At 50.9% G+C, this 14,194-nt stretch overlaps 2 protein-coding genes across 2 annotated transcripts; both read left to right on the forward strand.

The window, feature by feature from the left end:
• Nucleotides 1–1,373: 1,373 nt before the first annotated feature.
• PRR20D (proline rich 20D) lies at nucleotides 1,374–4,395 on the forward strand. The gene is made up of 3 exons (NM_001130406.1): nucleotides 1,374–1,587; nucleotides 1,742–1,812; nucleotides 2,834–4,395. The coding sequence occupies exons 2-3, from the start codon at nucleotides 1,761–1,763 to the stop codon at nucleotides 3,445–3,447; spliced, it is 666 nt and encodes a 221-aa protein (NP_001123878.1). The 5' UTR covers nucleotides 1,374–1,587; nucleotides 1,742–1,760; the 3' UTR covers nucleotides 3,448–4,395.
• A 3,543-nt stretch (nucleotides 4,396–7,938) lies between these two features.
• Nucleotides 7,939–10,960, forward strand: PRR20E (proline rich 20E). Its single transcript, NM_001130407.1, has 3 exons — nucleotides 7,939–8,152; nucleotides 8,307–8,377; nucleotides 9,399–10,960. Exons 2-3 carry the CDS (start codon nucleotides 8,326–8,328, stop codon nucleotides 10,010–10,012), a joined length of 666 nt encoding a protein of 221 aa, NP_001123879.1. The 5' UTR covers nucleotides 7,939–8,152; nucleotides 8,307–8,325; the 3' UTR covers nucleotides 10,013–10,960.

The following is a 14,194-nucleotide window of genomic DNA, read 5'->3' on the forward strand; positions in this document are numbered from 1 at the left end:
GGTTGAGCGGGACGGACGGCTTGAGCTCAGGCCTTCCAAACAAGCCTGGGCACATAGCGAAACCTCGTCTCTCCAAAAAAATCCGAAAATTATCCCGATGTGGTGGCGCTCACCTGTAGTCCAGCTACTCCGGAGGCCGAGACAGGAGAATCACTTGAACTGATTCTCCTATCTCAGCCCCCCCCCCCCCCCCCCCCCCCCCCCAAGTAGCCGCAGCGAGCCGAGATGGCACCGCTGCACTCCAGCCTGGGCTACAGAGCGAGAACCCGTCTCTGTAAAAGACACAAGGATGCAAACCAACCAAATAACCCACTGTGGGATCCCCTCCAGCGTCCTGCTGTGTTTCCCGCTGTCTTCCTCCACCCGTGAGTGCACCCACAGCAATAAAAGCCAGCGGTGTGGGTCTCACACGCATCTCCAGCCCCGTCGCCATCGCGCTGAGCTCGACTCTTTTTACAAAAGGCCACTTGACATCCTCACTTGGCAGTTCAAAAGCCCCTTCAACCAGATGTGCGCAAGCCAAGCTCCGCAACTTCCCGTTCAGAGCAGGTTCTCGGTCCACCTCTGCCTGAATGAACCGGCGGGCTACCAAGGCCGCAGTCTCTTCCTCAAGGGCTGTCCACACTGGGTCTCGCTTTCTCTTGGAAATTTCTCTCCCACCAGGGAACTTTCTCCTCCTCTACCTCCCTGAGTCTCAGTCTAACAGCACCCTGCGCCCAACCCCGAGGGCTGCAATAGCCTTCTTGCCTCTCCTGACTTATTCTGCGGACCCTGGGTTGGCGCTCCTTCACAGCCAGGCTGGTCGTTTCTGAAATGTTAACCCGCTGCCGGACACCGTTCCACGGTTTTCCGCTGCCTTGGAACAAGACCAGCTCCTGCGCGGACCCTGCCTCCACCTCGCACCACCTCCGGGCCTGGACTTGGCCTCCCGTCCATTCCCAGAATGTGCCGGGCTCCCTTCCAGTCCGGGCCTCAGCACACTCTCTTCACTCCCCTTCCTCCCTCCCTGCCTCTCCCAACCCGGTTCAGGATGACTAATTTCAAACGTTATGTTCCAGATTTCAGCCCAGATATCCCCGCTTTGGATGCTTTCCTTGACCATGCTCAGATCTAAGCTAATCGCATCTTCCTGTCAGCCGCTTTCAGGGCACCACACCTCATTGTGCTGACACTCAGAGGTCATTATGCAATTTTTTTTCCTCGATGATTAGATTAATCAATCAACCACGGACGTCTAGAAATGGCGGCATCTCAGAAGGGCCCCCATTTGACTGGCAGGGGACTGGCCCAATGCGCCTCGCAAGCCCAGCCAGGCCCGCCCCAGCCGGCCCCCCTCTGACGACGCCTGTCCCTTACGCGACTGCCTTGCTGCCATATAAGAGGGACGGCGCTCGGCCTCCAGCAGTCGGCTTTCTGCTGGGCTCGGAGCCAGAACCTGCTGCGTGCTCCCTCCAGACTCCCTGGCTGCGGGTGGACTACCTCAGAGCTACAGCGGTGAACCTGTGGACACCTCCGACTCCTCGGGCCTCTCTTCGTCGAAGAGTCTCCTAATTTTCAGATCTCCGGAGCCAGCTGTGGGAAGATCAGGTGTGTGTCTGGGGGTCCCGGAGGCGTGGACGGATCTCGGGTGGGTGCAGTTGGGGACAGAATCCTCATTCCCCTAGAAAGGCCACGGCCATCCCCCTGCCTTGTCACCTCTGTCTTCCTAAATCCGTTCTTGCTCTCTTGTTTTTCTCCCCAGCCCCTCCCGCCGATTGCTCATGGAGGAACCAAGGCCTTCGAAGCGACTTCGCTCCATGGCCCCTAATCAAGGTACATCAAACGCCTGCCACTCCTCTCTTTTTAATTTCGTCTGTTCCCCAATTCTTCCCCAATGGTTGACACTCAAACTCAATCAAGCATTCTCTGTTTCACCTTCTCCTAGCCTGCCTCAACCTGGGCTGCTTGTTGGAAGTCAGCTCCCGGGTTCCACATCATCTGGGAAATTCCTTTCCCTCTTCCGAACCGTAATCCCATTTCCCAAATCTGAGATTTGCTGTTGTTGTCGCTGTTTCCTTCTGTTTAGTTTTGTATTACTGTTTCTCCGTAGCAGAGCGAGTCCTCACGCTACGTCTTGATCTATGATAAACCGGTACTTCCACCTTGTTCTTTCCCGGAGGAGTTGGAATTTTCCGGCTGTTGCCACGTTGTTCTCCAAAACTTTTCCCTTCATACGCTGAGTGTCCTAAATCTTTTAATCTTGTCTAGTTTGACAGATGCATAACAATAAAGCATCCACTGAAAGGAAATTCTTTAACATCTTGCTTGTCTGAAACATCTTCATTCTCCCCTCCCAGATTCTTCAGCGAAACTTCGGTTGGACAGGAAATTTTAGGTGGGAAATTCATTTCCCTTGAAATTTCGAAGACATTTTCTGTTATGTTCTAGACTGAACTGCTGCTTTTGAGATGTCTGACTTTTGAGACATGTGGAATCCTAGCCCTTTCCATGTGACTTTTCCTTTCTCTGTCTCCCGCTCTCTAGAATCTGTTAGAATCTTCTCTTTTTCCTCAGCACTCTGAAATTTTCTGGTGAAATGTCTCAGCCACAGCATACCTCTAATTCTCTTATATTTCATCCTTCTTTCCATCATTTTAGGTTTTTGCTTTGTTCTGTGGGAGACCTTCTCAACTTCTTTCTCCAACTTCCGTGGAGAGTTTTGTTTCTTCTCTCACAATTTTAACTTCAGAAATCCCTCTTTTCTCTGAGTATTTATTTGTAAAAGTATCCTATAACTGCTTGACGGGTGAAGTTCCTTCTGTCTCTCTCTGCTCACGCTCCGCTTCTCTTTTAGCCTCAGGTGGGCCTCCTCCAGAGCCAGGCTGCTGTGTTGCGGACCCTGAAGGCTCCGTGGAAGCAGATGGGCCCGCACAGCCAGCCCAACCCGCAAAACCCATCGCTTACGTGAAACCCTTCAGACGGCAGCCCCCAGCTCGCCCAGAGTCACCCCCTCCTGCAGAGAGAGGCCGGCGCCGGGGAGGAAGCCGGCGGCCAGGGCGAGGCCGTGGCAGAAGGGCTGGGCCCCGCGGGGACGCTGGCCAGAGACAGGGGGCAGAAGGCTTGATGGCACCGGACGTGCACATCCAACTGGACCACCATGGAGAGCCAGGCCACCAGGGGGAACCGGAAATCACGGAGACCGCAGCCTTCTCCCTTTCTGAAACAGGTCCTCCGCCTGGAACTGTGCAGGAAGGCCCTGGCCCCGACGTGGCGCAACCTGAGCTGGGGTTTCAGGAGCCGCCCGCTGCTCCTGGGCCTCAGGCTGTTGACTGGCAACCCGTCTTGACCCTCTATCCCTGCATCGGGTTTAGGGCTCTGGGTGACTCAGCGGTTTTACAAGTCATTCAAACCCCCCAGGGCACCTACGTGCAAGGGGTCCCAGTGTTCCTCACCGACATTGCGTATTGACCACTATCTGCCACCCACGTTGTTCCCAGCCTCCCTTCCTTCCACCTGGACGTTCCCCCCAGCCCCACTTCTGCTCCACTCCTCCCCCGACTGGACCTGAAGCCTGAGCTTCCCCTGAACTTGGAGTACGCAACTTACAACATGCAAGCTGCCAAACACCCTTTCTGTACAAGGCGATTGGAATGGAACTGTCATGTACAGTGAAAGTACACGTCACGTTTTTCAGCCAAGAAGAAGCCAACCCAGACAACCTGGAAGAAGTGGGATGCAACAAGGATCACTAAGCATGGAAATTAGGAAACTGTATTCTTAAGTCCAGAGAAGTACGATTCTGGAAAAAGGATTGATGACCTAGAATTAAAATTCCAGAAGACACTCATATAGACATGTGGGACATGCGAAAACTCAGAAGGAGCTAGAAGTTACTAAAGTGCTTCTCTAGTGCCTGGAGACGATAGACTGGCTGAATATAAGAGCAATAAAAATCTAGACTGACACATTTTTAAGTCTCAACGTGGGTACCCTTTGGGAACCACTAAATGAATTGGAATAGAAGGTAAAATTTCAAACAGATTGAGGAAAAAGGGGATCAAAGGACATGTGACGAATCAGACAAAAGGTGTTGGGGTGGGGGGGGGGGCGGTTAACGGAAGCAAGGAGAGTGCATGACTCACTGGAACCGCTAAACCAGGAATCAGTAATTTGACGGCAGTGTCCTTGGCTTCCTCCTGGCTTTAATGGGAATATTTTGAATGTTTCACCATTAACCAAGATGTTGGCTGTAGGTGTCTCTTAGATGTTTAAGTTGAGTTAGTTCCCATCTTTTCAGAGTTTGATAAATGTTGTATTATGAACTTTTGTATTTTGTATTTTATTAGGTAGGCTGTTGTTGGCTGGTTTTCACTCCTTTGTAAACGTCCAAATAAAATACAGATAACTTTTTACATCAAAGATTTTTCTCTTGTGTACTCAATCCTTCTAAATAAACCTTTCTCTTCAGACTTATTTTATAGAACAGTTCTTTCACTAAACTTTCACAAATCGCAAATACAAAATGTGTTTACTAAAAGCAGAAAGGAAGGTAGAAAAATGGCTCCAGTCTCTGTTCTCCATTCATATCGCATCTTTCCCCATAGTCACACAAGTCTACACCAACAAACGTGTACATTGAGAGCATCGTTTGTGGCTCGCTTTTACAAACACCTGGCGTGCCATGCGCCAGGGGTCCTGCTGAAGTGACTATAAGGTCCAGGCAGGCAACACAGGTGTGGTCAGGACCAGAGCCTCTGTGGAGTCCGTGCGTCTCCAAACTAGGAACAGGCGACTTCGTATTGAAGCATGGCATGGAGCACAATGAGCACTGTGCAGTGGGAGCTGCTTCTTGGCTTGCCATTGGGGTCTGTCATCCATAAGCCAGAAAGCCCCCTTGCAGTCATCCTACGCACATGTGCCACTATCTTCTTGCTGTATATCTGTCTGGAAAGATGCACAGCTTTTACATTATGCAGGTGGTGGTCTGCTGATACGCTACTTCCAGGATATTTCTACCACCAGAATGCTTCACTAAACATTGGTACGTGGAGTAAGACAGGGTCTCATTCCGTCATCCAGGCTGGAGTGCAGTGGTGCAATCACAGCTCAGCGCAGCCTGCGCCTCCTCAGCTCGGGTGATCCTCCAACATCAGGTTGCCAAGTAGCTCAGACTGCAGGCAGGCACCAAGAGCCCTTGGTAATTCCTCCTGGTTTATTTATTCGTTCATTTATTTATTTATTTATTTTGAAACAGACTCTCACTCTTTCACCCAGGCTGGAGCGCGGTGGCTTCGGCTCACTGAGAACTCCATTCCCGGGACTGAAGCGATTCTCATGTCTCGCCCTAATAAAAATAGGAAAATTAGCCAGGCATGGTGGTGGGCCACTGTAGTCCCAGCTGCTCGGGAGGCTGAGGCGGGAGAATCCTTTGAGCCCAGGAGGCGGAGGTTGCAGTGAGCCCAGACTGCGCCATTGCAGTGATCCGAGATCATGCTATTGCACTCCAGCCTGGGTGACAAGAGCAAAACTTTGTCTCAAAATGGAAAAAAGAGAGAGAGAAGTTATCCCAATAAGAAAGATAAAAGTTTTGAAGAGAAACTTCACAGAAGAATCTATGGGTTCGGTCAGTGAGCACACGAAATCCCAATAAGGATGAGAATATGCAAATAAGCATGGAGCATCCTGTGGTGCCAGGGAGAAAGGAGCCGCCCAAAACCAAACAAAGCCAAAAGCCACAGCGATGGGAGGTTGACAAAGGGACACGGAAGCCAACTAAAGGAGCTCCCGGTGGCCAAAGCTGGAAACGTTGAGTAACAAAGTAATTAGCTAAATAATTAATAATTAAATAGTTAAGTAAAATATTTGACAAAATAATTAGTTCAATTATTAAATAATTCATCCCCCGAAGTACTGGAGTGTAAACCAAAGCATACAATAGGTGTCCATAAGTCCATACGGATATAAATAAGTGATTAAATAAACAAACATGTGGGGGAGAATGGGAAAATCCTCCACACAGGAGAACTCCACAGAACTTAGGTAGCTATTCCCCTGCAAGGAGATAAAGCAAAACTTCCCTTTTCTTTACGTATAGGCTACAGGTAGCGACTTCCAGAAAGCACAGTAGAGAAAGAGGTGGGAAAATCACTTTATGGTGGAGAAACCTAATCAACACTGCCCCAGCCCGGTGACCAGGACTAATAGCAGCAGTGATAAGCCGGCTTGATGGTGTGTACTCTAGACAGGATGGGATGGGAATGGCGCTTTCCCGCTGCAATCTTCCTGACAAAAACATATAATTCCAGTCAGATCACAAGGAATACATCACACGAACTTCAGGAGAGGACATCCCACAATATATCTGATCAGTATTCAAAGTGTCAGGGTCATCAAAAACAAGGCAAGTGTGAGAAACCGTCGCAGCCAAGGGGAACCGTGACGAGTTGTAAGGTGGTACCCTGGATGGGGTCTTGGGACAGAAAAGGTATGTGAGGTGAAAGCATAGCAAAACCTCACTTCAACAGGAAATACAACCCAAAAAAATAATTGGCCCGGCATGGTGGCTTGCGCCTGGGGTCCCAGCGACTCGGGAGGTTGAGCGGGACGGACGGCTTGAGCTCAGGCCTTCCAAACAAGCCTGGGCACATAGCGAAACCTCGTCTCTCCAAAAAAATCCGAAAATTATCCCGATGTGGTGGCGCTCACCTGTAGTCCAGCTACTCCGGAGGCCGAGACAGGAGAATCACTTGAACTGATTCTCCTATCTCAGCCCCCCCCCCCCCCCCCCCCCAAGTAGCCGCAGCGAGCCGAGATGGCACCGCTGCACTCCAGCCTGGGCTACAGAGCGAGAACCCGTCTCTGTAAAAGACACAAGGATGCAAACCAACCAAATAACCCACTGTGGGATCCCCTCCAGCGTCCTGCTGTGTTTCCCGCTGTCTTCCTCCACCCGTGAGTGCACCCACAGCAATAAAAGCCAGCGGTGTGGGTCTCACACGCATCTCCAGCCCCGTCGCCATCGCGCTGAGCTCGACTCTTTTTACAAAAGGCCACTTGACATCCTCACTTGGCAGTTCAAAAGCCCCTTCAACCAGATGTGCGCAAGCCAAGCTCCGCAACTTCCCGTTCAGAGCAGGTTCTCGGTCCACCTCTGCCTGAATGAACCGGCGGGCTACCAAGGCCGCAGTCTCTTCCTCAAGGGCTGTCCACACTGGGTCTCGCTTTCTCTTGGAAATTTCTCTCCCACCAGGGAACTTTCTCCTCCTCTACCTCCCTGAGTCTCAGTCTAACAGCACCCTGCGCCCAACCCCGAGGGCTGCAATAGCCTTCTTGCCTCTCCTGACTTATTCTGCGGACCCTGGGTTGGCGCTCCTTCACAGCCAGGCTGGTCGTTTCTGAAATGTTAACCCGCTGCCGGACACCGTTCCACGGTTTTCCGCTGCCTTGGAACAAGACCAGCTCCTGCGCGGACCCTGCCTCCACCTCGCACCACCTCCGGGCCTGGACTTGGCCTCCCGTCCATTCCCAGAATGTGCCGGGCTCCCTTCCAGTCCGGGCCTCAGCACACTCTCTTCACTCCCCTTCCTCCCTCCCTGCCTCTCCCAACCCGGTTCAGGATGACTAATTTCAAACGTTATGTTCCAGATTTCAGCCCAGATATCCCCGCTTTGGATGCTTTCCTTGACCATGCTCAGATCTAAGCTAATCGCATCTTCCTGTCAGCCGCTTTCAGGGCACCACACCTCATTGTGCTGACACTCAGAGGTCATTATGCAATTTTTTTTCCTCGATGATTAGATTAATCAATCAACCACGGACGTCTAGAAATGGCGGCATCTCAGAAGGGCCCCCATTTGACTGGCAGGGGACTGGCCCAATGCGCCTCGCAAGCCCAGCCAGGCCCGCCCCAGCCGGCCCCCCTCTGACGACGCCTGTCCCTTACGCGACTGCCTTGCTGCCATATAAGAGGGACGGCGCTCGGCCTCCAGCAGTCGGCTTTCTGCTGGGCTCGGAGCCAGAACCTGCTGCGTGCTCCCTCCAGACTCCCTGGCTGCGGGTGGACTACCTCAGAGCTACAGCGGTGAACCTGTGGACACCTCCGACTCCTCGGGCCTCTCTTCGTCGAAGAGTCTCCTAATTTTCAGATCTCCGGAGCCAGCTGTGGGAAGATCAGGTGTGTGTCTGGGGGTCCCGGAGGCGTGGACGGATCTCGGGTGGGTGCAGTTGGGGACAGAATCCTCATTCCCCTAGAAAGGCCACGGCCATCCCCCTGCCTTGTCACCTCTGTCTTCCTAAATCCGTTCTTGCTCTCTTGTTTTTCTCCCCAGCCCCTCCCGCCGATTGCTCATGGAGGAACCAAGGCCTTCGAAGCGACTTCGCTCCATGGCCCCTAATCAAGGTACATCAAACGCCTGCCACTCCTCTCTTTTTAATTTCGTCTGTTCCCCAATTCTTCCCCAATGGTTGACACTCAAACTCAATCAAGCATTCTCTGTTTCACCTTCTCCTAGCCTGCCTCAACCTGGGCTGCTTGTTGGAAGTCAGCTCCCGGGTTCCACATCATCTGGGAAATTCCTTTCCCTCTTCCGAACCGTAATCCCATTTCCCAAATCTGAGATTTGCTGTTGTTGTCGCTGTTTCCTTCTGTTTAGTTTTGTATTACTGTTTCTCCGTAGCAGAGCGAGTCCTCACGCTACGTCTTGATCTATGATAAACCGGTACTTCCACCTTGTTCTTTCCCGGAGGAGTTGGAATTTTCCGGCTGTTGCCACGTTGTTCTCCAAAACTTTTCCCTTCATACGCTGAGTGTCCTAAATCTTTTAATCTTGTCTAGTTTGACAGATGCATAACAATAAAGCATCCACTGAAAGGAAATTCTTTAACATCTTGCTTGTCTGAAACATCTTCATTCTCCCCTCCCAGATTCTTCAGCGAAACTTCGGTTGGACAGGAAATTTTAGGTGGGAAATTCATTTCCCTTGAAATTTCGAAGACATTTTCTGTTATGTTCTAGACTGAACTGCTGCTTTTGAGATGTCTGACTTTTGAGACATGTGGAATCCTAGCCCTTTCCATGTGACTTTTCCTTTCTCTGTCTCCCGCTCTCTAGAATCTGTTAGAATCTTCTCTTTTTCCTCAGCACTCTGAAATTTTCTGGTGAAATGTCTCAGCCACAGCATACCTCTAATTCTCTTATATTTCATCCTTCTTTCCATCATTTTAGGTTTTTGCTTTGTTCTGTGGGAGACCTTCTCAACTTCTTTCTCCAACTTCCGTGGAGAGTTTTGTTTCTTCTCTCACAATTTTAACTTCAGAAATCCCTCTTTTCTCTGAGTATTTATTTGTAAAAGTATCCTATAACTGCTTGACGGGTGAAGTTCCTTCTGTCTCTCTCTGCTCACGCTCCGCTTCTCTTTTAGCCTCAGGTGGGCCTCCTCCAGAGCCAGGCTGCTGTGTTGCGGACCCTGAAGGCTCCGTGGAAGCAGATGGGCCCGCACAGCCAGCCCAACCCGCAAAACCCATCGCTTACGTGAAACCCTTCAGACGGCAGCCCCCAGCTCGCCCAGAGTCACCCCCTCCTGCAGAGAGAGGCCGGCGCCGGGGAGGAAGCCGGCGGCCAGGGCGAGGCCGTGGCAGAAGGGCTGGGCCCCGCGGGGACGCTGGCCAGAGACAGGGGGCAGAAGGCTTGATGGCACCGGACGTGCACATCCAACTGGACCACCATGGAGAGCCAGGCCACCAGGGGGAACCGGAAATCACGGAGACCGCAGCCTTCTCCCTTTCTGAAACAGGTCCTCCGCCTGGAACTGTGCAGGAAGGCCCTGGCCCCGACGTGGCGCAACCTGAGCTGGGGTTTCAGGAGCCGCCCGCTGCTCCTGGGCCTCAGGCTGTTGACTGGCAACCCGTCTTGACCCTCTATCCCTGCATCGGGTTTAGGGCTCTGGGTGACTCAGCGGTTTTACAAGTCATTCAAACCCCCCAGGGCACCTACGTGCAAGGGGTCCCAGTGTTCCTCACCGACATTGCGTATTGACCACTATCTGCCACCCACGTTGTTCCCAGCCTCCCTTCCTTCCACCTGGACGTTCCCCCCAGCCCCACTTCTGCTCCACTCCTCCCCCGACTGGACCTGAAGCCTGAGCTTCCCCTGAACTTGGAGTACGCAACTTACAACATGCAAGCTGCCAAACACCCTTTCTGTACAAGGCGATTGGAATGGAACTGTCATGTACAGTGAAAGTACACGTCACGTTTTTCAGCCAAGAAGAAGCCAACCCAGACAACCTGGAAGAAGTGGGATGCAACAAGGATCACTAAGCATGGAAATTAGGAAACTGTATTCTTAAGTCCAGAGAAGTACGATTCTGGAAAAAGGATTGATGACCTAGAATTAAAATTCCAGAAGACACTCATATAGACATGTGGGACATGCGAAAACTCAGAAGGAGCTAGAAGTTACTAAAGTGCTTCTCTAGTGCCTGGAGACGATAGACTGGCTGAATATAAGAGCAATAAAAATCTAGACTGACACATTTTTAAGTCTCAACGTGGGTACCCTTTGGGAACCACTAAATGAATTGGAATAGAAGGTAAAATTTCAAACAGATTGAGGAAAAAGGGGATCAAAGGACATGTGACGAATCAGACAAAAGGTGTTGGGGTGGGGGGGGGGGCGGTTAACGGAAGCAAGGAGAGTGCATGACTCACTGGAACCGCTAAACCAGGAATCAGTAATTTGACGGCAGTGTCCTTGGCTTCCTCCTGGCTTTAATGGGAATATTTTGAATGTTTCACCATTAACCAAGATGTTGGCTGTAGGTGTCTCTTAGATGTTTAAGTTGAGTTAGTTCCCATCTTTTCAGAGTTTGATAAATGTTGTATTATGAACTTTTGTATTTTGTATTTTATTAGGTAGGCTGTTGTTGGCTGGTTTTCACTCCTTTGTAAACGTCCAAATAAAATACAGATAACTTTTTACATCAAAGATTTTTCTCTTGTGTACTCAATCCTTCTAAATAAACCTTTCTCTTCAGACTTATTTTATAGAACAGTTCTTTCACTAAACTTTCACAAATCGCAAATACAAAATGTGTTTACTAAAAGCAGAAAGGAAGGTAGAAAAATGGCTCCAGTCTCTGTTCTCCATTCATATCGCATCTTTCCCCATAGTCACACAAGTCTACACCAACAAACGTGTACATTGAGAGCATCGTTTGTGGCTCGCTTTTACAAACACCTGGCGTGCCATGCGCCAGGGGTCCTGCTGAAGTGACTATAAGGTCCAGGCAGGCAACACAGGTGTGGTCAGGACCAGAGCCTCTGTGGAGTCCGTGCGTCTCCAAACTAGGAACAGGCGACTTCGTATTGAAGCATGGCATGGAGCACAATGAGCACTGTGCAGTGGGAGCTGCTTCTTGGCTTGCCATTGGGGTCTGTCATCCATAAGCCAGAAAGCCCCCTTGCAGTCATCCTACGCACATGTGCCACTATCTTCTTGCTGTATATCTGTCTGGAAAGATGCACAGCTTTTACATTATGCAGGTGGTGGTCTGCTGATACGCTACTTCCAGGATATTTCTACCACCAGAATGCTTCACTAAACATTGGTACGTGGAGTAAGACAGGGTCTCATTCCGTCATCCAGGCTGGAGTGCAGTGGTGCAATCACAGCTCAGCGCAGCCTGCGCCTCCTCAGCTCGGGTGATCCTCCAACATCAGGTTGCCAAGTAGCTCAGACTGCAGGCAGGCACCAAGAGCCCTTGGTAATTCCTCCTGGTTTATTTATTCGTTCATTTATTTATTTATTTATTTTGAAACAGACTCTCACTCTTTCACCCAGGCTGGAGCGCGGTGGCTTCGGCTCACTGAGAACTCCATTCCCGGGACTGAAGCGATTCTCATGTCTCGCCCTAATAAAAATAGGAAAATTAGCCAGGCATGGTGGTGGGCCACTGTAGTCCCAGCTGCTCGGGAGGCTGAGGCGGGAGAATCCTTTGAGCCCAGGAGGCGGAGGTTGCAGTGAGCCCAGACTGCGCCATTGCAGTGATCCGAGATCATGCTATTGCACTCCAGCCTGGGTGACAAGAGCAAAACTTTGTCTCAAAATGGAAAAAAGAGAGAGAGAAGTTATCCCAATAAGAAAGATAAAAGTTTTGAAGAGAAACTTCACAGAAGAATCTATGGGTTCGGTCAGTGAGCACACGAAATCCCAATAAGGATGAGAATATGCAAATAAGCATGGAGCATCCTGTGGTGCCAGGGAGAAAGGAGCCGCCCAAAACCAAACAAAGCCAAAAGCCACAGCGATGGGAGGTTGACAAAGGGACACGGAAGCCAACTAAAGGAGCTCCCGGTGGCCAAAGCTGGAAACGTTGAGTAACAAAGTAATTAGCTAAATAATTAATAATTAAATAGTTAAGTAAAATATTTGACAAAATAATTAGTTCAATTATTAAATAATTCATCCCCCGAAGTACTGGAGTGTAAACCAAAGCATACAATAGGTGTCCATAAGTCCATACGGATATAAATAAGTGATTAAATAAACAAACATGTGGGGGAGAATGGGAAAATCCTCCACACAGGAGAACTCCACAGAACTTAGGTAGCTATTCCCCTGCAAGGAGATAAAGCAAAACTTCCCTTTTCTTTACGTATAGGCTACAGGTAGCGACTTCCAGAAAGCACAGTAGAGAAAGAGGTGGGAAAATCACTTTATGGTGGAGAAACCTAATCAACACTGCCCCAGCCCGGTGACCAGGACTAATAGCAGCAGTGATAAGCCGGCTTGATGGTGTGTACTCTAGACAGGATGGGATGGGAATGGCGCTTTCCCGCTGCAATCTTCCTGACAAAAACATATAATTCCAGTCAGATCACAAGGAATACATCACACGAACTTCAGGAGAGGACATCCCACAATATATCTGATCAGTATTCAAAGTGTCAGGGTCATCAAAAACAAGGCAAGTGTGAGAAACCGTCGCAGCCAAGGGGAACCGTGACGAGTTGTAAGGTGGTACCCTGGATGGGGTCTTGGGACAGAAAAGGTATGTGAGGTGAAAGCATAGCAAAACCTCACTTCAACAGGAAATACAACCCAAAAAAATAATTGGCCCGGCATGGTGGCTTGCGCCTGGGGTCCCAGCGACTCGGGAGGTTGAGCGGGACGGACGGCTTGAGCTCAGGCCTTCCAAACAAGCCTGGGCACATAGCGAAACCTCGTCTCTCCAAAAAAATCCGAAAATTATTCCCGATGTGGTGGCGCTCACCTGTAGTCCAGCTACTCCGGAGGCCGAGACAGGAGAATCACTTGAACTGATTCTCCTATCTCAGCCCCGCCCCACCCCCCCCCCCCCCCCAAGTAGCCGCAGCGAGCCGAGATGGCACCGCTGCACTCCAGCCTGGGCTACAGAGCGAGAACCCGTCTCTGTAAAAGACACAAGGATGCAAACCAACCAAATAACCCACTGTGGGATCCCCTCCAGCGTCCTGCTGTGTTTCCCGCTGTCTTCCTCCACCCGTGAGTGCACCCACAGCAATAAAAGCCAGCGGTGTGGGTCTCACACGCATCTCCAGCCCCGTCGCCATCGCGCTGAGCTCGACTCTTTTTACAAAAGGCCACTTGACATCCTCACTTGGCAGTTCAAAAGCCCCTTCAACCAGATGTGCGCAAGCCAAGCTCCGCAACTTCCCGTTCAGAGCAGGTTCTCGGTCCACCTCTGCCTGAATGAACCGGCGGGCTACCAAGGCCGCAGTCTCTTCCTCAAGGGCTGTCCACACTGGGTCTCGCTTTCTCTTGGAAATTTCTCTCCCACCAGGGAACTTTCTCCTCCTCTACCTCCCTGAGTCTCAGTCTAACAGCACCCTGCGCCCAACCCCGAGGGCTGCAATAGCCTTCTTGCCTCTCCTGACTTATTCTGCGGACCCTGGGTTGGCGCTCCTTCACAGCCAGGCTGGTCGTTTCTGAAATGTTAACCCGCTGCCGGACACCGTTCCACGGTTTTCCGCTGCCTTGGAACAAGACCAGCTCCTGCGCGGACCCTGCCTCCACCTCGCACCACCTCCGGGCCTGGACTTGGCCTCCCGTCCATTCCCAGAATGTGCCGGGCTCCCTTCCAGTCCGGGCCTCAGCACACTCTCTTCACTCCCCTTCCTCCCTCCCTGCCTCTCCCAACCCGGTTCAGGATGACTAATTTCAAACGTTATGTTCCGG

Source organism: Homo sapiens, chromosome 13, assembly GCF_000001405.40.
Source record: "Homo sapiens chromosome 13, GRCh38.p14 Primary Assembly".
In the NCBI taxonomy this organism is placed as follows: domain Eukaryota; kingdom Metazoa; phylum Chordata; class Mammalia; order Primates; family Hominidae; genus Homo; species Homo sapiens.

Excerpts from the sequence above, each read along its gene's own strand:
- PRR20D (NM_001130406.1), top strand. The coding sequence starts at position 1,761 with ATGGAGGAACCAAGGCCTTCGAAGCGACTTCGCTCCATGGCCCCTAAT. Across the intron at positions 1,813-2,833 it reads CTCCATGGCCCCTAATCAAG|CCTCAGGTGGGCCTCCTCCA; the intron begins GTACATCAAACG and ends CTTCTCTTTTAG.
- PRR20E (NM_001130407.1), top strand. The coding sequence starts at position 8,326 with ATGGAGGAACCAAGGCCTTCGAAGCGACTTCGCTCCATGGCCCCTAAT. Across the intron at positions 8,378-9,398 it reads CTCCATGGCCCCTAATCAAG|CCTCAGGTGGGCCTCCTCCA; the intron begins GTACATCAAACG and ends CTTCTCTTTTAG.